The sequence below is a fragment of the Homo sapiens genome, chromosome 4 (genome assembly GCF_000001405.40).
Source record: "Homo sapiens chromosome 4, GRCh38.p14 Primary Assembly".
NCBI classification, from domain to species: Eukaryota; Metazoa; Chordata; class Mammalia; order Primates; family Hominidae; genus Homo; species Homo sapiens.
The window spans coordinates 83,310,301-83,333,725 of record NC_000004.12 but is presented as its reverse complement, the minus strand read 5'-3'; the positions used below and the strand labels follow the sequence as shown (position 1 = coordinate 83,333,725).

Sequence of the window (23,425 nt, the reverse complement as noted above, 5' to 3'; positions counted from 1 at the left end):
GGGCTGCAAAATGTGGTGCTGCCTTATCAGCTCTAAGTTTTTTCCTTACCTGAGAAAGAAGGAACCTGATGCAGGTTCAGGGCTCCTGCCCCATGAATGCAGGCTGACTCCAAGATGGGGAGCTACAGGGACAATCCCAGGTCTTCTAGGCCTCTTATTTAGGCCCTGGGAGCCTCCAGAGATGGCCACATCTTGACCAGCCCAGATAGAGGGAAAGATCACCATTATCTCACCTCTGTGTCAAATACCTAGATGCTGTCCTCCCTGAGCCCACACTATAGTTGCCAGCGCTAATTTAATGGGTAGTGTACTGGTTAAGAGATGGACAGACCATCCTGGCTTGACTCTCAGCTCTGGCAAAGATGAGTGACTTGGTTTTTCCATATCTCTTGGCCACACCAACCTTGATTTCTTCAGCTGTAGAATGGAATTTCTCAAGCTTGCCTCAAGGATTATTGCCCGAGGATTTGATGATATGGTAAGAGCTTCTCAGTGTTTGACCCATAGTAAGTGTTTGACGTTTCAAACGAATTGTTTCTTTCTAGGACATGGTGAGCATTTGGTAGCCATTCACCGGTTTTCTGTTTCTTTGGATCATAGTTAACCTCTCCTTTTCCTTCTGGCACTACAATTTTCTGGTGGGGAAGAATCCTTACTTTCTGCCCTTCCCCTTAAGGATAGGAAGCTGATACTAGGCAGCAACTAGTTGGGGGATAGGAAGATTGTTCCAGAGAAATGCTGAACCATAGGGCTCCAGATCACAGGACCCCAGTCTTAGCTTGCTGGGGTGTGGGGTGGGGGGGGGCGGTTACTGAACATGGGTATGAAGTAGATGTCCATTTACTGAAATGTGAGGACCTGAGGCCTCTTCTATTGCTGTAGCCAGCATATTCCCCAACCTCTCCCCAAGAAAGGACAGATGGGGGTTCCCCCCTGGAGTAACAGGTCCAAAAGAAAAAACATACAGTGGGACTTCCAGGATCTGGGCCTGATCACCCAGCAGTCAAGCTCCCCGCAATTGACTAACACCCCCCTAACACGTAGAAATTCCAATCTGCAATTTAGTGAGGATGATACCTTTATTCTTCTTAAATACATCTCTTCATTTCCCAGAGCACCCTTTTTTCCCCTCCTCTGCACCTTTTTGTTAAAGACTGGAGTATAATGAAATACCAAGAGAGCATAACATGTGATACATAAAACTTTTTTTCTGGTTTACAAAACAGTTCATTCTTGTCCATACGTGCTTCTCTCCAAGGCTGGCTGCTGTCTGTTCCAGCCCGCTTCGCTTGGAGAGGCCATCTGCCATACCTGCTCCCCAGACGCATCGACAAGCACACCCAGAGTGTTATCTGCTAAGACCTAAAAGAGGGAGGAACCCCCTCTCCTCATCTAAGACCTAGCTTCTAAATTAGAGTGTGAGGGTCCATCTCCCCAGGAGGGGCACAGGGCCCAAACAGCCCAGCCATCTCAGAAGACAACACTAAGCTTTGTAGGGGTCCACAGTAGAGGAGAGTAAGACGCCTGTTGTTTAATTTATTACAGTTCCTCAAAAGTGAAGATGTGTGGGCGGGATGGCAAGAGCTGAGCAGACGAAAGCTGAAGGAATAAGGAAAGAGAGGAGGACACAAACAGCTGACACTTCCTCAGTTCTTGTCATTTGCCTGGCCCTGTTCTAAGCACCTTCTAGGTATTAATCCATTTAGTCTTGGCTACAACACTGTGAGTGACTAGTTTTGTCACCCCCATTTTAAAAATGAAGAAAGTGAGGCTCAGGGAGGTTAAGTAACTTGGCCACAGTTTGAAACTAGACTCTGATCACATGAGATAATAGTGCCCATAAAAAGGGAAAGCAGATTATATTTTTTAAAGGAAAGAGAGTAGGATATGGTAGAAAAAGATTGTTTGGAAAGGAATTGAGAGATTGATATAATGAAAAGAAGCATTCACATGAGAGTAACAGTATCAGGGCCCAAACCTTCATCTAAGGTACTTCAAAGAGGCCTAAGCAAACTTAGTCACTGGCGTGGTTCTAGTCTCCATGATGGCAAATACATTGTGTACAGCCCAACTCCACACAAAACTTAAATACCAATGATAGAGCAATCTAAAATTTGAAAGAAAAAATCTTTCAATTTGTCGTCTTCCCAGAGGGACTTAATCAAGAAACCAATCAAAATACTTCCTAAGCCTAACTGTGTGCAGAACTCCAAAGAGAGCCCAGCCCTAAATCAACACTGTCCAATGGAAATATAATATAATGTGGGCCTCATATGCAAGGTCATATGTAATTTTAAATTTTCTAGTAGCCATATTAAAAAGGTAAAAAGAAACAAGTGAAATTAATTTTAATAATTTTATTTAGTTCAATAGATCCAAAATGTTTTCTCAGCATGTAATCAATATAAAAATATTAATGAGGTATTTATTATTCCTTTTCTCAAACCAAGTCTATTCTATAATCTGGCGTGTATTATTTACAGCACTTCTCAGACTATATTTCTTTCTTTCTTTTTTTTTTCCGAGACAATTTTGCTCTTGTCACCCAAGCTAGAGTACAATGGCGTTACCTCGGCTCACTGCAACCTCCGCCTCCCGGGTTCAAGTTATTCTCCTGCCTCAGTCTCCCAAGTAGCTGGGACTAGAGGCATGCACCACCACGCCTGGCTAATTGTGTATTTTTAGTAGAGACAGGGTTTCACCATGTTGGCCAGGCTAATCTCAAACTCCTGAGCTCAGGTGATATGCCCACCTCGGCCTCCCAAAGTGTTGGGATTACAGGCGTGAGCCACTGCACCCGGCCTCAGATTAACTATATTTCAAGCGTTCAGTAGCCACATGTAGCTAGTGCTATGGTAGTGGACAGTACAGATCTGCATTTCAATTAAGACACGTATACAAGCATAGTTCACTAATGCACGGTAAAAAAAAGTATAGTGCTGAGTCGGTGGTAGAAATCCTAAATACTGCAGAGCAAAAGTGGTACGAACAGCAATCTCAGTGATAATGCAACCATGCTTGCTTTTCATTGCAATTTGCTTATTTTCCTTCAGCAAAGTTCATCCATTTTTGCCAATTCAATAAATATTTACTGATAAAAACTTTCAATATTAGATTCTTGCATCTTCATAGACAGAGTTGCTTTTCACATTTAGAAAATTACTTATCAATGTTAAACACACGTTTTGATAACCAGTGTTGGAAAGAGGTGCAGACTCCCCATGTGCCTATTGATGGCAGAAATATTCACAGCCAAAGGGAAACAAAGGGCTGGGGACAATCACACACCTCATGTCTCCTAACTCCTGGGAAGTGCTGTCCCTCTGATTGAGCTCTTATTATTGCCTTCCCCACTAACCCTGTCCACTGTGCCCTGGAGCCCTTTGCAGGGTTACCTGCTCTGTCCTCCTCACAGAATATCTCCTCTACCTCCTTGTCCAAGCTACAACTTGGCTATTCTCTGATGACACTGTCTTCCCTGTAGCCCTTTTGAGTAATGGCTGCATATTCTCCCATAGTCCAGTTCTTTTCCTGTTCTCCAGTCTGGCTTCTGGATGACAGCCCACTAGTTTGAACTCCATACTGCTATAGTTCAAGTCCCTTTTGACTTGTTACCTTGGGCAAATTACCTCCTTTTGTTCAGGTTCCTTGTTTGTAAAATGACGATAATAATGCCATTTGCTTCAGTGGGTTATTTTGAAATTGAGTGAAAGAAGGCGGGTAGCTTCCCTACACGCTCAGTGTAGACTAGCCTGATGTGCATTACGGGTGATGCCATGACTCAGTGTGTTTTCCTCATCTCCACATCTGGCTCTCATCCAGTGCTCCTGCTTACGGCACTCTGTCCCCCTCTTACTTACTCCCCCTTATTAACTGAAGACTGGCACTGATCTCACAGTTTCCTCTCCACTTCCTAGTCTCACCATCATCCTAGATGACTTCAAGTCACCTAGATAAACTGTCTCAGTTTCTTCACTCACATTTTTTTATAACAGATAATGTTACACTCAAGTTGTAACAGAACCAGCTTATCCAGCTCATGAAATGTATGCATTTCATCTCAACTCTGTATTCAGTGACATCCTGTGGGTATCTGGAAATCAGCCATGGTGAGAATATTTACCATGGAAATTGGCAAATACTAAAAAGCAGAGCACCTTTTTTTCTGAGAGCCAGACCATAGCTCTTCTACTCCATAGCACCCATCATAACAATTTTTAAATACCTCCACTGAACAGCTTCTTCCTCTCTCTACTTCTTCCATATCTGATTTGAGCTTCTTAATTTATCATGTGAACCACTCTTGTAATAATAACCCCAAATCCCTGTTCCATTGTTCTTCCTGCTAAAATACTAAACCTGGTTTAGTCCAACCATATTTTCTCTCTTTGGAATCTACAGGGTGGCCCAAAAACCTGGAAATGGAAAAATATTACTTATTAATTTTAATGTATATTAATAAGCCATTTTAATGCTTCATTTCCAGTCTCAGTGGCCACCCTGTATAGCTGGGCTATTGAGCTCTTGCGGGAGGAGGGAGTGGACAGTCTCCCAGCCACACAGACTGATGTTGCACCAAACATTTTTTAGCTTCCAGACTTCCCTGGCCCTTAGTGTTACCCTTAACTCTCCATTTCTCTGCCTTTCACATTCTCTACTTTTTAAAAATCTCTGACTCCACCTTCACCTTATCATTCTTAGCACATGACCATACTTCTGCTTCCCAAAGAAAATGAGCAATTACTTCCTTTTCCTTTTCCTCCTGTCATCAAATCTGCAGACATGTCATGCCTAAGTCCAGCTTTCCTCCTTTCTCTGATCTCAGTCTGCTTCTTCCATTTCTGCCCTGAATCCCGTCCCCTCCCCAACCCCCAAGGACTTCGCTCTATCAGTCACCTCTTCCCTCTCCTGTATCTTCAACTCCTCCCATTTTACTGGCTTCTTCCTCAAGCCTTTCCCCAAGCCTTTCCCCAAGCCTTTCCCATCTCAATTACCTCCTCGCACATGCCTCTGCAGAAACCACCCCGTTTCTTCCCTCCCCTCGGCAGCCTGTTCTTCCTGTTCTGCCCTCATGATGGCACCATCATTGTGTCACTAAAATCAATCTCTCCGACATCATCAATGGCCTTCCTTTGTTGGGAAACCTAATAAACACTTTATCTTATTTGGTCTTTGTTATGGGTTGAATGAGGTTACCCCGAAATCCATATTAGAAGTCCTAACCCCCAGTACCTCAGAATGTGACTTTATTTGGGAATAGGGTCATTGCAGACGTTATTAGTTAGGATGAGGTCATACTGGAATGTGATGGGCTGCTTATCTAATATGACTGATGTCCTTATAACAAGGAGAAATTTGGAGACAGACACGCACATAGGGAGAATACCATGTGATGACAGGAGTTATGGAGTTGGAGTCAAAAAGCTATGGGAACTTAGGAGAAAGACCTGGAACAAATCCTTTCCTGCGCCTAGAGAGGGAGTATGGCCCTGCCACTACCTTGAATTCAACGTTTCGGCTTTTCAAAACTGTAAGACAATACATTTCTGTTGTTCAAACCAATTAGTTTGCAGTACTCTGCGACTGCAGCCCTAACAAACTAATACAGTCTCTTGGAGGCATTTGGCAAGGTTGACAATGGAAGCACTTTCTTACCCCTTTAGGTCTGTCGCCTTTCTTGTTGGGGGGTGTTTTCTAACAATTCCTCTCCATCTCTCTCTCTCTAGTTTGTCTTAAACATTGGTGTTCTTCAGACTTCTGACCTAGGCCTTCTTTTCACTTCACATATTCCCCTGGGTGGTCTCACCCACTTCCAGAAATTACTTAAATTACTGCTCATGCAGTACTGTGCTGGAAACTGTTTAACAACTGGCTCTCTGGGAAGAGGGGAGACTGGTTGATGGTTTTTGCTGATTTCTGTGGTGTAAATACTCCCTCCATGGCCAATTCCAAACTGCCAACAGTTTAACAACTGGCTCACAAATTTTCTCCAAATTTAACATTTGGCTTTCACAGGCCAACAACGTGGTACAGCCAACTCCAGCACACCTCTGCTTTTGTGTCAGAGAGAAGTAACTTATTTTTGTACAAAAGGTAAAATAAAAACACCTGCAGGCCCCCTTTTTTTCCTTAACAAACTGCTCTAGAAATAGAATAGCTGAAGCTTCTTTTATGCATTCATCTGTTATTTCCATGTCACTGTGGTGGTGGGATTATTTTTCCTTTATTTTTCTTGTATATGGTTGAAATACTGTACCTTTGATCAGTTTTAGTTTTATGGCATGTTTTGCACCCATATTAAATCTAGTTTTTGTCAGAGGGCGTCAATATTATTTTCTCAAAACAAGAAAATATTTCATTGCAAAGGAGACAAACAAAAAGGTCCTTAATACCAAAACTTTGAAATGTGATTTCTTGTACTTGGCAGTGTCCAAGTGGTAAACCCAAACAGTATTGGGTTTTCATTTTGTTCAGGAAAGTCTTTGTCTGGCAGCGACTTACCCTTACATCAGGCGGGCCTTGCTCATTCATTCACTTAAGTATTTATTAAACACCAGCGGTGTGCCAAGTACTTATCTAGGTATCGGGTAGATTCTGATAAGTCAGTCAGGTCCCTGCTCTCAGGGAGCTTGCAGCAGAGATGGGGGCTGCAATAGAGAGTAAGCCAAGGAAATGAAAAAGGAAGTTGATTTCAGAGAGTGATGAATGCTATGAAGAAAATGAAGGCAGCGCAGTGTGATGGAGAGTGACCCAAGGTGGTACAGTTTGTACCTCTAAGGACCAGGCTGTGACCCAGGTCACTCACAGATGCCCGTCATGTGATGCCACAGCAACTTTTCCAGGTGCTCGTTTCCTCCCACTTCCCAGTCTCTTGCCCAGCCGCGACTGCTTACAAATACAGCTAGAGGAATCTAAATGAGGTTCCTCTATCATCAAACCCAATCAAAATGCCAAGGAACAGAATCAGTGCCTGGCTGAAGGCAGTGGAACAGGGCCAGCCTGGAGTGGTTCTCTCTGAGGAAGTTCCTCATCTTGGTTTTAGGGCCATACCTTGTGACCTGTGAGCTAGGGGTTGCCAGTCCCTGACATTTCTACTGAGGACTCGCCTGTCTATATTCCCGGCCTGTATGTGTCTCCTGAGTTCCAGACACACAGGGCGAAGCGCCTGATGGATGGAAGTATGTTTTTTGGTGTTCCATTGGTATCTCAAATTCTACAAAACTTAGTGCCCCTTCTCCTCCCTGTTCCTCCCCATCTTCAGTCTATCACCTGTTCCTCATCCAGCAAATGATATTACCATCTTCCAAGGAGCTTCCCAGGAGTAATCCTTGACTCCTCCTCAACATCCAATTAATAATCAAATCTAGGCCAGGTACAATAGCTCATGCCTATAATCCCAGCACTTTGGGAGGCTGAGGCAGGTGGATCATTTGAGGCCAGGAGTTCAAGACCAGCCTGGCCAACAAGGTGAAACCTGTCTCATTTAAAAAAAGTTATTTTAAAAACTCAAATCTATTATTTCTACCTCTAAGTGTGTCTTGAATTTATCCATCTCTCTCCATCTCTGAGCTGTTACCTTACCTCAGTCCATCACGTTTTGTCTACGTTAACATGACCAGAGTCTTGTTCTTAGTCTGGTGAGGTCACTCCAGCTGCTTCAGATCCTTCCATGGCTCACCGTTGCCCTCATATAAAGTTGGCACTCCTGGACATGTGGCTTACGGGGCCCTCCGTGATGTGGCCCTATTTGCTTCTCCATTCTGTTCTCTCCCAGCCTCTCTGCCCCCATCTCTAGGCACCAACCACACCCTTCTGCTCGTCAATGGTGCCAGCTTCTCTTCTATCTCTGGTCTTTGGACAGACTTTTCCCTTCACCTGGAATGCTTTCTTCAATCCTACCCCACTCTCTTTAATCTAGATAAGGTTTATTCTTTTTGAATGTCTAGCAGTGAAACCATTTCCCCTGAAAAACCTTCTCTATCCAACCCCCTACCCTCAGCCCAAGGTCTAGATTAGGAGTCCCTCTGAATGTTTCCATAGCATTTTTAAAGAATTGCCTATTTACTTGTTCGTATCTATCACTAAACTACAAATTGTATGAGAACAGCCACTATCTCTGCCTGGTTCACCATTCATCTCCAGCAACTAGCATAATGCCTGGCAGAGTCAGCCTGCAACAAATATTTGTTGAATAAATTAACAGATGGCTTTATCTCCTTAAGTAAATCTTGCTTTTTTCACCTATTAAAACAGACGCACAGGCCAGGTGTGGTGGCCCATGCCTGTAATCCCAGCACTTTGGCAGGCTGAGGTGGGCGGATCACCTGAGGTCAGGAGTTCAAGACCAGCCTGGCCAACATGGTGAAACCCCATCTCTAATAAAAATACAAAAATTAGCTGGGCATGGTGGTGGGTGCGTATAGTCCCAGCTACTAGGGAGGCTGAGGCAAGAGAATCGCTTGAACCCAGGAGGCAGAGGTGGCAGTGAGCCGAGATCATGCCACTGTACTCCAGCCTGGATGACAGAGACCCTGTCTCAAAACACACACACACACACACACACACACACACACACACACACACACACACACACACCAAGTTGTATAATTTAAAATATAACGTGCTTGTTATGGAACACTTGTAAAATACAGGAAAGTAATGAAAAAGTCTACCATCTAGCTCACCACATAATGACCATTGCTATCATCCTGGCATAATTCTCTCCTGTATATAAATATATATTCTTTTATTGTTAAAATTACACTATGAGTACTATTTATTTATTTTATTGTGGCAAAATGCGCAAAACATAAAATCTTGCCATTTTAAGGTATGCAGTTTGGTGCATTCACCACACTCACATTGTTGTGCAAATATCACCACTATCTATCTCAGAACTTCTTCGTCTTCCCAAACTGAAACTCTGTACCCATTAAACAATAGTGCATCCTCTGTTTTCCCCTCCCTACAATTTATTTTTATTTGGGTTTGTACCAAACTGAAAATAGCTGCTTCTTCCTTACTTAGTTCAGATTAGCATTTCCATTTATTTAGCCGTGGTTTTGAGGATGCCATGACAGATGCCATCCTTCCTAGAGCTCTTTGGGGCTGTCAGGTATTTCAGTCAGGGTGAATTCGGGTTGATAACATTTTAAAATCTCACTTTATTCTGAGGTTCCTAGTGTCAGAGCCCACCGTATTTTTAGGGACTCCCAAGTTACAAACAAAAATATGGTGAGGAGGAATCACTGAAGTTTTAACACAAGAGACTTACATTTTGTTCAATTTCTATCTTTTAGTTTATTTCCTAAGCATAAAGAAATACTTTGAAAATTTTACATAGCATTATACATATTTAATTAAGCATGAGCACATCTTAAAACTTTAAATTTTAGATCAGATCTTTAATTCCTAGGATATTAAGAGGTACTGGCAATTTGGCCAGGTGTGGTGGTTCACGCCTATAATCCCAACACTTTGGGAGGGTGAAGTGGGCGAATTGCTAGAGCCCAGGAGGTGGAGGCTGCAATGGCCTGAGATCACGCCATCGTACTCCAGCCTGGATGATGAGAATGAAATCCTGTCTCAAAAAAAAAAAAAAAAAAAAAAAAAGAAGAAGAAGAAGTATTGGCAATCAGTGCTCCAGGAATAATTTCCTGACTTGAAATAAACCTACATGTAGACAAACTAATTAGGCCATTCCAAGAGTTGCTAGCATTGGTTTAATATGTTTTCAGAGCATTCCAGGAAGCAGTGTGGCCAGCATTGCATGTTTGATACTTCAGAAATGTATGACAGGTGTTTCTCTTACCCAGGTCTTCTGTTTTCTTAGTTTTGCTCATGTAAATATTTATGAACATCCTCATCTTTTTGAGGGAAGGGATTATAGATCATTCTAATTCCATTTTCTAGCATTTGGTACCATTCTAAGCACATGATAGGCACCCATTTGGAGCATTTTTGGCTTGACAGAATATGCATTTAGAATTGTTCAAATTAGAGGTGTCAGTGATGGGAATTAGAATACTATATAATTCTAAGTCATTTGACTTAAATACAAAAGAATGATTTTCCTTGGTGGGGAATGGTGAAGGGAGGCAGGAGTTAAGAAGAGGAGAAGAGATCCTAAGTCATTTATAAACTTCTCTGGAAAGACAGGTGTGTGAAGACTTTTTAAAAAGTCATTCACCAAATTGTGTGTGTGTGTGTGTGTGTGTGTGTTTTAAATAGACTTTATTTTTTAGAGCAGTTTTAGGTTCACAGCAAAATTGAATGCAAGGACAGAGATTTCCCATAAACCCCCTGCCCACACACATGCATAGCCTCCCTCATTATCAACATCCCCACCAGAGAGGTGTTTGTTCTAGTTGATGAACCTACACTGACACATCATTATCACCCAAAGTCCATAGTTCACGGCAGGGTTCACTGTCGGTGTACATTCTATGGGTTTGAGCAAATGTATAATGACATGTATCCACCATTATAGTAACATACAGAGTATTTTCAGTGCCCTGCAAATCCCCTGTTCTCCACCTATTCATCCCTCCCTCTCTGCATTTCCACCCCCAGCCCCTGGTAACCGCTGATCTTTTTACTGTCCCATAGTTTCGGACGATCTATTTTTCAGACAGACACAGAGCTGTCTTTCCCTTAGTTTCTATTCTATCATTTCTTTCTCCCCATCCATCATAAAAGGCTATGAGTTTTTTTTAAGTGTTGAACACCATCCTACTTGTCAAGTTAAAACATAAGCTCCTGGCTGGGTACAGTGGCTCATGCCTGTAATCTCAGCATTTTGGGAGGCTGTGGCAGAAGCATCACTTGAAGCCAGAAGTTTGAGACCAGCCTGGGCAACATAGCAAGACCCCATCCCTCCACACACAAACACACACACACACACACACACACACACACACACACACACACACACACAAACAAGCTCTTGCCAGAATTAGAGCTACAAATTGCCCTCAGGTTCCTAGAAGATCAGTCCTTCAATTAGATTCAGATTGAGATGCTTCCTCTTTTAAACAATGATTCCCTTTCTATCATGCCCAATAAGAAAACAAATAAAAATTAAACAATACTGCCTGTAATCTCAGCTACCCAGGAGGCAGAAGCAGAACTGCTTCAACCCGGCAAGCAGAAGTTGCAGTGAAGTGAGATCGCGCCACTGCACTCCAGCCTGGAAAACAGAGCAAGATTCTGTCTCAAAAACAAAACAATGTGATTTCCTCCTCTAAGTCCTGCACAGGGAAATGTTAAGAAATAGGTCCACCAGGAAAGAAGGAAGTAAGAATGTTTGACTAGATTGTCTTGGAAAAAATAGTTATACTTTCTTGCTTGTCTTCCTAACAGTTCTCCAAAGCTTCGTACCTTGGCCAGAGGCTTGTCTCCTGCGTACCTGAGGTTTGGTGGCACCAAGACAGACTTCCTAATTTTCGATCCCAAGAAGGAATCAACCTTTGAAGAGAGAAGTTACTGGCAATCTCAAGTCAACCAGGGTGAAAATTTTTAAAGATTCACTCTATATTTTAATTAACGTCAGTCCGTCATGAGAATGCTTTGAGAAAACTGTTATTTCTCACACCTAACAATTAATGAGATTAACTTCCTCTCCCCTCATCTGACCTGTGGAGGAATCTGAACAAGAGGAGGAGGCAGTGGGCAGGTTTCCTTATCATGATGTTTGTCATGTTCAGTGTGAGGCCTCACAAAAAAAAAAAAAAAAAAAAGGCGTCCTGGATATAACTGAGAGCTCATTGTACAGTAAATATTAATAAAACAGTGATTGTAGCTGAAGGATAGAACTGCTTGGAGGGAGCAAGTGGGTAGAATCGCGTCAAACTAAAGAGCATTTCTAGCCAAAGACACAATGATAGATTGAAGGATATTTATTCTAAATATAGAATATGGGTGAACGAGATCTGTGGACTTCTGGGCTCCAACGTTAGATTCTGATTTTAGCAAGCTTGTCAGGGGATTCTGATATTGAAAGGCTGTGGCCTTCACCTGAGAAACCTGCCCTAGGGGGCCATGAAAATTTGTCCTGTCTTTCAGAAGTGCTATCAGACATCAAATGGAAGTTAAATCGTATCTTAACAATTACTAGGATGGGCGCAGTGACTCACACCTGTAATCCCAACACTTTGGGAGGCTGAGGCAGGAGGATCACTTGAGCCCAGGAGTTCGGGACCAGCCTGGGCAACATAGAGAGACGTTGTCTCTATTTTTTAATAATTTAAAGAGAAAAAAATACTGAAAATATTGTATACACCACTGAATTATAATAATGTGTATATAACGTATATATTCATTATGAGGAATATTTGATTATTTCATATATTATATCTTTTCCTTCTGTTTATTTTATCCAGTTATGAAGTATTTAGAACAATTCATCAGTAATTGGGGCTAAATTGACAGAATAGTAATCAGAGAAAATAGAAAAAGACAGATGGGTTATCTTTGAATACCAGGTTGGAGTTGTTTATGGGTTTGTTTTTTGTTTTGGGGGCGTTTTTTTAGACAGAGTCCCACTCTGTTGCCCAGGCTGGAGTGCAGTGGCACAAGCATGGCCCACTGCAGCCTTGACCTCTTGGGCTCAAGCAATCTTCCCACCTTAGCCTCCTGAGTAGCTGGGACCACAGGTGCATGTCACCACACCCAGCTAATTTTTTTATTTTTTGTAGAGACAGTCTTTCTATGTTATCCAGGCTGATCTCAAACTCCTGCACTCAAGTGATCCCCCTGCCTTGGCGTCCCAAAGTATTGGGATTATAGGCATAGCCACCACACCCAACCTAGTTTCTATTTAGACTTGGCCCTTTCCCACCAGTCATTTGTGTCCAAAAGATCTCATAAATGTAGACAGGAAACTGTCCTTTGCTCATCAGTTTTCTTCATCCTGTGTCTAGGGGGATGGTCGGTGGGGGAAACTGGGGTTATGCAAGTTCCTCTGAAACATCCTCTGTGAGCCCAGGGATGGATGAGGCACCAGCCGCCAGCGAGTCAGTGTGCAGCTTTCCAGAAAGGAAGTCATCAGCCAGTCAGCCGGCCCTGGCAGCCAGCACCCGGCAACCCTGCTGTCTTGTGATAAAGAAATGGTCTGCCTGACAGGATGGTGTGGATTTTTCTTTTTTCTTTTTTTTTTTTTTGAGACAGGGTCTGGCTCTGTCGCCCAGGCTGGAGTGCAATGGCGGGATCTTGGCTCACTGCAGCCTCTGCCTCCCAGGCTCAAGGCATCCTCCCACCTCGGTCTCCCGAGTAGCTGGGACCACAGGCACACACCACCACGCCCAGCTAAGTTTTCGTATTTTTAGTAGAGGCAGGGTTTTACTATGTTGTCCAGGCTAGTCTCAAACTCCTGAGCTCAAGCTATCCATCTGCCTTGGCCTCCCAAAGAGCTGGAATTACAAGCGTGAGCCACTGTGCCTGACCAGGGTGGATTTTTTCAAGTGCACATGTTGTGGTCCCAGAAGCTCTGATGGTACCAAATTCAAAGCGAAAAAAAGTCAACGGTTCCCACCCATCCTACCTCCCATGATGGCAAGAGGAAAACACCACACTGCAGATACAGTCCATGTAAAACAAATTGCTATGGATTTTGAAAGTGAACCTTAAGAGAACTGCACTATGTTTTCTTCATTAGAGTTCTCTGGTAATTTCCAGCTTTTTTTTTTTTTTTTTTTTTTAGACAGTGTCTCGCTTTGTCGCCCAGTGTCACCCAGGCTGGAGTGCAGTGACGTGATCTCGGCTCACTGCAACCTCCGCCTCGTGGGTTGAAGTGATTCTCCTGCCTCAGCCTCCTGAGTAGCTGTATTTTAGTAGAGACGAGGTTTCACCATTTGGCCAGGCTGGTCTCGAACTCCTGACCTCAAGTGATTCGCCCATCTCAGCCTCCCAAAGTGCTGGGATTACAGGTGTGAGCCACTGCACCCGGCCAGTAATTTCAAGCTTCTGAGGAGCCCTTTGAATTGTTAAATAACTTGTAGCTATGTCCAACATATCCATGTTCAGTGTATGTTCAATATTTCTTAGGAAACCTGCCCTTGGTTGTTTTCTTTGTGGTAATTCATGAGCCGGCAAATTTGACATGTGTTACAGAATATACCTTTTCTCTGCTCTCCTACCTCATAACCAGAACTTAATTATCCTGCTTTAGTCACATAAATAGCTAACTAAATAAATATATGCGATTTCAGTCTGCTCACTGTGAAAACAGACCTTCTAAATGATCTCTTCCACTTGCAGATATTTGCAAATATGGATCCATCCCTCCTGATGTGGAGGAGAAGTTACGGTTGGAATGGCCCTACCAGGAGCAATTGCTACTCCGAGAACACTACCAGAAAAAGTTCAAGAACAGCACCTACTCAAGTAAGAAATGAAAGGCACCCTAGAGATGTTCCAGCCCCAAAGATATTTGAATAGGTTGGACTCGGGCACCAATCTAGCAAGTCCTACGGAAGTTGTATAAAGCTGAAAATACTGAAGCATTTCCCAAATGGGAAATCCTAAACTCAAAACTTGCTTTTTGGTTTTTTTTTTGTTTGTTTTTTCTTCATCTGACATTGCTTAGTAGTCACAGAATGAAAGATAAATCAATCATTCATGATCTAACAATGACCTTCAGTGCTCTAAAAAACTACGGAGTCAAGGAAAACATGAATATATTCCTCATGTAAAATTAAAATACAGACATATAAAGGGCAAAACATGAACATCATTCATACCTTGAGGTCCGTCCCCCTCCCAGAAATAACCCCCAGTATGCCTTGGTTTAGAGCATTAGGCAGGAGGGCCCTGAGTCACTCCAGACAGTCTTGGCCACCAAGCAGCATTCTCTTTTTGTTTCCTCTGTGGCTTTTGCAAACACAGGGCTAGCTCAGCTACCCATTAGTATGTTTTCAGTCACTAAAACAGTCTTCCAGTCTTCAAATTAGGATGACATTGTCACATGGGGCTTTAAAGCAAGTGAAACAAGGAACCCCCTTTTTTTTTTTTTTTTTTGAGATGGAATCTCACTCTTGTCGCCCAGCCTGGAGTGCAATGGCGCAATCTTGGCTCACTGCAACCTCCGCCTCCCAGGTTCAAGAGATTCTCCTGCCTTAGCCTCCTATTCATTATGAGGAATATTTGATTATTCAGTTCCTGTAGGGTAAAGGTATTACCCCCGATCATATTATTGATTATTGAGTAGCTGAGATTACAGGTGCCTACCATCACGACCGGCTAATTTTTTGTATTTTTTAGTAGAGACAGGGTTTCACCATGTTGGCCAGGCTCCAGGCTCGTCTCGAACTCCTGACCTCAGGTGATCCACCCACCTCAGCCTCCCAAAGTTCTGGGATTACAGGCGTGAGCCACCACTCCTGGCCACAATCCTTTTTTAACTATGAAATATATTTTTATCTGAAGTTTGATGTTTATACCCCACTGAGGGATGATGTTCCCATATCTCAGTTAAAGAAATAACCTGCTCAGATACTTCAAGCTCTTCTTTTGACTTTTGAAAATAAATGATCTTGAAGTTACTATACTTTGTTTGGGTTAGTTAACATTATTTAAAGTATATTATTTTAATTAATTATCTTTGTAAGATTTTACTGTATACTACCTGGAGTTCAATGTATCAGATGGATTTCAAATTTATGTACATTTTTTATGTATATGGTACAGAAAAAAATGTGTTCCATAAGAAATCAAAAAATAGCGCATATGCTAATAGCTAATGTTGTCCTCTAAAAAACTTTTTTTTGCATTTTTAAGAGGGCGATCTACTCTGACACTTTAATAAGTGTAATTAATTATTGACTGGAATTTGGCATGAGGCAGGGCCATTTCAGATCCCATTAAAGGAATGACACATACCAGAGAACCACAGAAGTAAGGCCACATTTGTAATAAATCATTATAGCTCTGCTAGGAGAAGACCCAGTTGTATTAGGTAATTAATGGATTTGCTCTTAAAACACATGTCCCGGAAGATATAGGTGAGTCTTGGGGGGTCGCATTAAACATTATACCAATGTATCTTACATTTCTAAGAAAGTTTTACTACTTTACAGGATCTTTCTGTTACCAAAATGGTAGGTTTCCAACTCCAGGACTTGGCTTTCATAGTTCCTACACCAGGGGAAATGCCTTCCTTTGCTAACTATGCAACCAGGTTAGTTAGTGTAAGTCCAGCCACCCTGTTGGCAATGCTAAAAGGTACAACAAACACAGAATTTTATTTGCATTTGTAAACATTTGATTTCTGGCTCGAAATTTTCAGTTTTCATGGGCACGTCATGGAAACAGAAATCTTCTGTGTTTAGTTTGGGCACCTACTCATTGTAGTGACAAATATTTCAGAAGCTAATAGGGGATTCCACAAATTGTTCTGAACCTGTGGCTGAGACTGGTAATGGCTGAGTGACATGGGGACATACCACAAAAGAAGAGGTAGCAAAAGGCTGCTGAGATAAGGACATGTTCATTGCTTAGCTAGTGGCCTGCACCCTTAAAACACATGTCCCAGGCTGGGTGCTGTGGCTCACACCTGTAATCCCAGCACTTTGGGAGGCTGAGGCGGGTGGATTACCTGAGGTCAGGAGTTCGAGACCAACCTGGCCAACATAGTGAAACCTCATTTCTACTAAAAATACAAAAATTAGCCAGGCATGGTGGCGGGCGCCTGTAGTCCCAGCTACTCAGGAGGCAGGCAGGAGAATTACTTGAATCTGGGAGGCAGAGGTTGTGGTGAGCCGAGATTGCGCCACCGCACGCTAGCCTGGGCGACAAAGTGAGACTCTGTCTCAAAAAAACAAAAACAAAAAACAAACAAACAAAAAACAACAACAACAAAAAAACGGGTGTCCCAGAAGATACAGGTAAGTTTTCTAACACAGGTCCTCTTGTATGGTGCGTTCCACTTAAGTAGAAGATGACAAAAACATTTGTCATGAGAATATAGACTCACATTTTAAACCTGTTTGAGCAGGAAAAGGAAGCAGTGTTACAGATGTAATTCCGGGTGTGACTGCAGAAAGGATGACTCCCTTATTAAAGTAGTCATCCTGAGTGAGCTAACTCTTTGTACTTCCTCTTCTCCTCCTGTTCCCCTCATCACCCCATTCTTCCGTTGCCTACACCCAGGCCCACATTGGATGCTGACATAGACTTACATGGTACAGTCCAAGGGAAAGATCTGCCATTTTTTTCAATGTGTCATCTTGGTTATCTTCATTCCAAGGATCTCTCCACTCTTTATACAGTAAGAGATGAGAGTCTGGAAAGGATTGGGAATAAGATAATGAATTGTAAGTTTTAAATTGTTCTTCGTATTTTGAGTAAGGAGTAGGCTAGGTGGTCCTTCTGTTTTTTTTGTTTTTTTTTTTTAAAGTAGATGTGGCCAGACGTGGTGGCTCACGCCTGTAATCCCAGCACTTTGAGAGGCTGAGGCAGGTGGATCACTTGATGTCAGGAGTTCAAGACTAGCCTGGCCAACACAGTGAAACCCCATCTTTACTAAAAATACAAAAACTAGCCGGGCTTGGTGGCGTCCACCTGTAGTCCCAGCTACTGCAGAGGTGGAGGCAGGAGAATCACTTGAACCCGGGAGGTGGAGGTTGCAGTGAGCCAAGATCATGCCATTGTACTCCAGCCTGGGCGACAGAACAATACTCTGTCTCAAAAAAAAAGAGAAAAGAAAAGAAAAAAAGAATGGATTTGAACTCAGTCGTCAATAGCCTCTATTCCAGGAGATGTTACAGTTGATTATGTTATAGGGGGTGTATAATAGAATTTCGAGCTATGTAAATTCCAAGTGCATTTGGAAGAATGAAGAAATGGAGGAAGGGTAAAGTATGAGTGCAAGCATTCCAGGTTTTTTGAAAATGCTATAATCTTTGTTCAGGGCTAGTACAAAGTGCTATTTAGCTGTAAGGGTTTTTTGTGATTTACAGACAGTTTTCACATGTGTCATTTCAACCTTGGTTTTATGGCGAAGGCATGTGATGGTGCTTGTCCCAGGACTTTAGATCCATATCTGAGGTTCCTGTCGGGCAAAGATATTACCCCTGTTCATATTATAGTCTATAAGTGGGAGAGTTGTGCCTGGAGCTCAAGTCTTATGATTTCTGATCCAGGGCACTTCCTACAACATGATTTTGCAATATAAAAGCCTATAATGTGTGACTAAAGCAGGTCACTCACCCCTTGTAACAGACTCTAGTAATGGTACTGCCACCAAACGGCTGCGTGATATTGGGCAAAGACTTACCTTATTTGAATCTCAGTTTCCTCCTAGAAAAATGAGGGTGGAGGTTAAGCATAGGCTGATGATCCTAAAGCCTCCATACTGCCTTAAACTGTGGCTCTAAGATCCAGTAGAATGCTGGGTCACAGGACTCTAGAGAGCTTTTCAAACCCAAATGTCTGTCATTCCTTGATGGTAGGCAGCAGTTTATGGAAGTGGGTGACACAGCAAATATCAAAATACCTAAAGCAGCTTGCAAGAGTTGTTTCTGCCTAGTGGTCTTTATAGTTAATATTAAATAGTTAATTTTTTTTTTTTTTTTTTTTGAGACAGAGTCTTGCTCTGTTACCCAGGCTGCAGTGCAGTGGCACAATCTCGGCTCACTGCAACCTCCACCTCCCGGGTTTGAGCAATTCTGTCTCAGCCTCCCAAGTAGCTGGGACTACAGGTGCATGCCACTGCACCCAGCTAATTTTTGTATTTTTAGTAGAGACGGGGTTTCACCATATTGGGCAGGCTGGTCTCGAACTCTTGACCTCAGGTGATCCACCTGCCTCAGCCTCCCAAAGTGCTGGGATTACAGGCATGAGCCACTGCACTCAGCTTAAATAGCTAATATTTAATATTATTCTATAGTTATTCAAGTAATTCAGGCCAAAGACTTAGAAACAAAACAAAAAGCCACTTTTAAGGAGAAAGGGTGTAAGTTTGCCAGATAGATAGAGATCTTTCTTTTTTAACTACAAGAGTTCAGGAATGAATTACTCTTTAACAAACGACTATAGATATACATGAAAATTGGAAGGACTTATTATGCATATGATAATCAATTTAAAGACAACACTTAAAATTATATTGTTGCCACTCTCAAAAAGTGGTAATAGAACAGCTAATGGTTTAAAAAGCAGAGTACAGAAGTTCCCAAACTTATGGCACCTTAATATCGCAGAAAACTTTTTAAAGCATGCCTAGGCCACAAAAAATACCTGTATTTTGATTATTAAATTGTAAGGTCTACACAACCTAATAGTAATAGGTCCAATAGTAATGCTGTCCAATAGATGTTGATGTTTTTTTCCTTGCAAACTTAAAAGATCCTACAGTGCCTCTGTAAATAGCACTGCCTGGTTAGAGTTGAATTTCAGATAAATAATTTTTTTCATGTTAATTATTTTTCTTTTCTTTACTTTTTTTTTTGTTTGTTTTTTTGTTTTTTTTTTTGAGACAGGATCTCATTCTGTTGCCCAGGCTGCTGTGCAATGGCATGATCATGGCTCACTGCAGCCTTGACCTCCCTGGGCTCAGGTGATCCTCCCACCTCAGCCTCCCAAGTAGCTAGCTGGGACTACAGGTGCTTACCATCATGCCCGGCTAATTTTTGTGTTTTTTGTAGAGATGTGGTTTTGCCATGTTGCCCAGGCTGGTCTTGAACTCCTGGGCTCAAGTGATCCGCCCGCCTCGGCCTCCCAAAGTGCTAGGATGACAGGCATGAGCCACTGCACCTGGCCCCTGTGCGAAGTATTTCTTAATGGTTACATAGGACATACACTAAACATTATTTATTGTCTATATGAAGTTCAAGTTTAACTAGGTGCCCTGCACTTTTAGTTGCTAAATCCTGTAGCTGTACCCATGCATTCACTGGTGCTCCCCAGCTTGCCTTGCACAGAGTTTGGAAACCATAGTCCTATAACTCTAGGCCAATTTTTTAATGTAAAATTTGATTCATTTTAAATTAATAAATCATAACAGGAATTTTTTTAAAAATTGTTTTAAATATAATTAAAATTATCAAAATATTTTTTAACTGAACTTGTGACTAGAGATATTTAGATTATGAAGAGTGGGGTTTATGCTAACTAATGACAGTCTGGCTATGCATGTGGAGCACTGAGCTATAAATTGTGGCTTCCCCAATTCTCCTGATGTCACTTGAACAAAACCTAAGTGTCAGACCAGAGCTTCTGGTATCTTCCATGGGATTTCATTCAACAGCTGGAGCAAATGAAGTCAGATTGATTTTTTTTAATTTGTCCAATTTTGTTGTCTCAAAAACATAATTATAATCATTTATTAGAACTAGAATTTCTTCAGTTTAACAACAGAAATAGTTATTCATTATGAAAAGCGAATCTGGAGGCCTTCATTGTGGTGCCAATCTAACCATTAAATTGTGACGTTTTTCTTTTAGGAAGCTCTGTAGATGTGCTATACACTTTTGCAAACTGCTCAGGACTGGACTTGATCTTTGGCCTAAATGCGTTATTAAGAACAGCAGATTTGCAGTGGAACAGTTCTAATGCTCAGTTGCTCCTGGACTACTGCTCTTCCAAGGGGTATAACATTTCTTGGGAACTAGGCAATGGTGAGTACCCCAGGGAACAATTCATTAATAAGGAGATCCCCCACTAGCATTATTTCTTTTCTTTTCTTTTTCTTTTTTTTTTTTTTTTTTTTGAGACAGAGTCTCGCACTGCTGCCCAGGCTGGAGTGCAGTGGCGCCACCTCGGCTCACTTGAAGCTCTGCCTCCCAAATTCACGCCATTCTCCTGCCTCAGCCTCCCGAGTAGCTGGGACTACAGGCACCCGCCACCGCGCCCAGCTAATTTTTTTTTTTTTTTTTTTTTTTTTTTTTTTGCATTTTTAGTAGAGACGGGGTTTCACCGTGTTAGCCAGGATGGTCTTGATCTCCTGACCTCGTGATCTGCCCTCCTCGGCCTCCCAAAGTGCTGGGATTACAGGCGTGAGCCACCAGGCCCGGCTAGCATTATTTCTTATGACACTTTTTTTTTTTTTTTTTTGAGACGGAGTCTCGCTCTGTCGCCCAGGCTGGAGTGCAGTGGCGCCATCTCGGCTCACTGCAAGCTCCACCTCCCAGGTTCACGCCATTCTCCTGCCTCAGCCTCCCGAGTAGCTGGGACTACACGCACCCGCCACCACGCCCGGCTAATTTTTTTGTATTTTTAGTAGAGACGGGGTTTCACCGTGTTAGCCAGGATGGTCTCTATCTCCTGACCCCATGATCTGCCCGCCTCGGCGTCCCAAAGTGGTGGGATTACAGGCGTGAGCCACTGCGCCCGGCCAACACTCTTTTTATTATTAGCAAATATACTTCTGCCTGGGCACATTCTTGCAAGTGCTCAACAATGCAACTTTTGGAAGTGCATGTGGCAGAAACTCCTACTGTATTTATTCCAGAACCTATTATTGCTAATCCCAGTTTATGTTACATTTGAAGTGAGAACCAGTTGGAGCCAGCAACGTTCCCAGCTCCAAAGTTCCCTTGAGATTTTCAGAATCACTTAACCCTATTATGCTTGGCAAGCTGGACTCAGCAAAACTGGGAAGTCAGCAGTTTGTTTTATTCATCCCTTCCTTTCTCATTTTCTCAAATGTGTCAGTTAATCTCAGTAACCCCATTGCAACCTTCATTACCTGCCCAAACGGTCTAGAACTTGCCAGTATAGAATCCTACGTGGGTCAAGCTCCTGACTGTCTCCTTCTTCACTCTTTTTTTGCAAAGAACTTGTAAATTTTAACTATAAGTATTCATGATTCGCCACATTTATTCAAAACATAGAGTGCTTTTTCCACATATCAGCCAATGGAAATAAGGATTAAATGGGAAATGAAATGTAGTAATAGGATAAGCACAAGTCTTCTTCCTGCTCAAACTTTTTTTTTTTTTTTTTTTTTTCAGACAAGATCTTGCTCTGTTACCCAGGCTGGAGTGCAGTGGCGTGTTCATAGCTCAATGTAACCTCCAACTCCTGGGCTCATGCAATCTCTCACACCTCAGCCCCCTGATTAGCTAGGACTACACTATGCCTAGCCAATTTTTTTTCTTTTGTCTGGTTGTGTTGCCCAGGCTTGTCTCGATCTCCTGGCCTCAAGTAATCCTCCTGCCTCGGCCTTCTAAAGTGCTGGGATTATAGGCATGAGCCACTGTGCCCGGTCTCAAACCTTTTTTTCCAAAGTAAATGAAGTTATTAGATATGGAATATAGTCTAGTTCCCAGATATCCATATCCATTGGTTTATTACCCTCATTATTAACTTCAAATTGTTTAATAGACCCTCATATCTCAGTTATACAGTTAAAATTTTTGTTTTGTTTTTCTGGAGTATCTTATTTATAACTTTGAGTTTTACTTTACTTATTTATTTTATTTTTTGAGACAGACGCTTGCTCTGTCACTCAGGCTGGAGTGCGGTTGCGTGATCATGGCTCACTATGGCCTCGACCTTCTGGGCTCAAGTGATCCTCTCCCTCAGCCTCCCAAGCTGAGACTACAGGCATGCACCACCACATCTAGCTAATTTTTTTTTTTCCCCATGGAACAGGGCTTTACTATGTTACCCAGAGTGGTCTCAAACTCCTGGCCTCAGGGGATCCTCCTGTCTCAGCCTACCAAAATGCTGGGATTACAGGCATGAGCCATAGCGCCAGACCTGGTTTTACTTTTCTTGACTTTGAATTACAAGTTTTTGTAATTTGGAAAATGTTTTGTTGCTTTTAAATACTGCTATATGTTTGCTTTTAAATACAACATTTCTCGATATATATTTTGAGAATTGCTGTCTTTCAGAACCTAACAGTTTCCTTAAGAAGGCTGATATTTTCATCAATGGGTCGCAGTTAGGAGAAGATTTTATTCAATTGCATAAACTTCTAAGAAAGTCCACCTTCAAAAATGCAAAACTCTATGGTCCTGATGTTGGTCAGCCTCGAAGAAAGACGGCTAAGATGCTGAAGAGGTAGGAACTAGAGGATGCAGAATCACTTTACTTTTCTTCTTTTTCCTTTTGAGACAGAGTCTCACTCTGTCAGCCAGACTGGAGTGCAGTGGTACAATCATGGCTCACTGCAACTTCGACCTCCCAGGCTCAAGCAATCCTCCCATCTCAGTCCCACAAATAGCTGGGACTACAGGTGCACATCACCACACCTGGCTACTTTAAAAAAATTTTTTTGTAGAGATGGGGTCTCCCTGTGTTGCCCAGGCTGGTCTCTTGAATTCCTGTGCTCAAGCCATCCTTCCACCTCAGCCTCCCAGAGTGCCAGGATTACAGGCATGAGCCACCACACCCAGCCACCACTTTTCTTAAAAAAAAAAAAGATTCTCTCTGGTAGACAATCCTCAATAGTCCACATGTTATTAAACAATCTGCTGCCTGA

General features: G+C 42.3%; 1 protein-coding gene and 1 long non-coding RNA gene across 5 annotated transcripts in view, besides 3 other annotated features; one reads left to right on the top strand and one right to left on the bottom strand.

Moving 5' to 3' along the window:
* The window catches only part of HPSE (heparanase), a 42,693-nt gene that overhangs the window by 1,428 nt on the left and 17,840 nt on the right, over positions 1-23,425 (top strand). For 3 of the 4 annotated variants that reach the window (NM_001166498.3, NM_006665.6, NM_001098540.3), the window contains 4 exons: positions 11,362-11,507; positions 14,257-14,382; positions 20,439-20,612; positions 22,836-23,004. In NM_001166498.3, coding sequence (NP_001159970.1) covers positions 11,362-11,507; positions 14,257-14,382; positions 20,439-20,612; positions 22,836-23,004 — 615 coding nt within the window. The remainder of the gene's footprint in view (positions 1-11,361; positions 11,508-14,256; positions 14,383-20,438; positions 20,613-22,835; positions 23,005-23,425) is intronic. The other variant, NM_001199830.1, reaches the window with a different exon arrangement.
* Positions 10,296-10,590: an enhancer, noted in NCBI's record as "tiled region #10996; HepG2 Activating DNase matched - State 8:EnhW". NCBI's record gives its function as "activates a minimal TATA promoter and a strong SV40 promoter by Sharpr-MPRA in HepG2 cells {active_cell/tissue: HepG2}" and the evidence as "EXISTENCE:reporter gene assay evidence [ECO:0000049][PMID:27701403]".
* Positions 12,134-12,327: a silencer, noted in NCBI's record as "fragment chr4:84242552-84242745 (GRCh37/hg19 assembly coordinates)". NCBI's record gives its function as "represses an EF-1alpha promoter that drives an FKBP-Casp9 reporter gene in an ReSE screen in K562 erythroleukemia cells {active_cell/tissue: K562}" and the evidence as "EXISTENCE:reporter gene assay evidence [ECO:0000049][PMID:32094911]".
* Positions 16,450-17,649: an enhancer, noted in NCBI's record as "CDK7 strongly-dependent group 2 enhancer chr4:84237230-84238429 (GRCh37/hg19 assembly coordinates)". NCBI's record gives its function as "activates an origin of replication core promoter dependent on BRD2, BRD4, P300/CBP, MED14 and CDK7 cofactors, with strong dependence on CDK7, by STARR-seq in HCT116 cells {active_cell/tissue: HCT116}" and the evidence as "EXISTENCE:reporter gene assay evidence [ECO:0000049][PMID:35650434]".
* On the bottom strand, positions 16,887-19,632 carry LOC105377313 (uncharacterized). Its single transcript, XR_938944.2, has 3 exons — positions 19,607-19,632; positions 17,175-17,278; positions 16,887-16,978 (listed from the first exon to the last, which is right to left on the bottom strand). It is a non-coding gene; the product is annotated as an uncharacterized LOC105377313 (long non-coding RNA).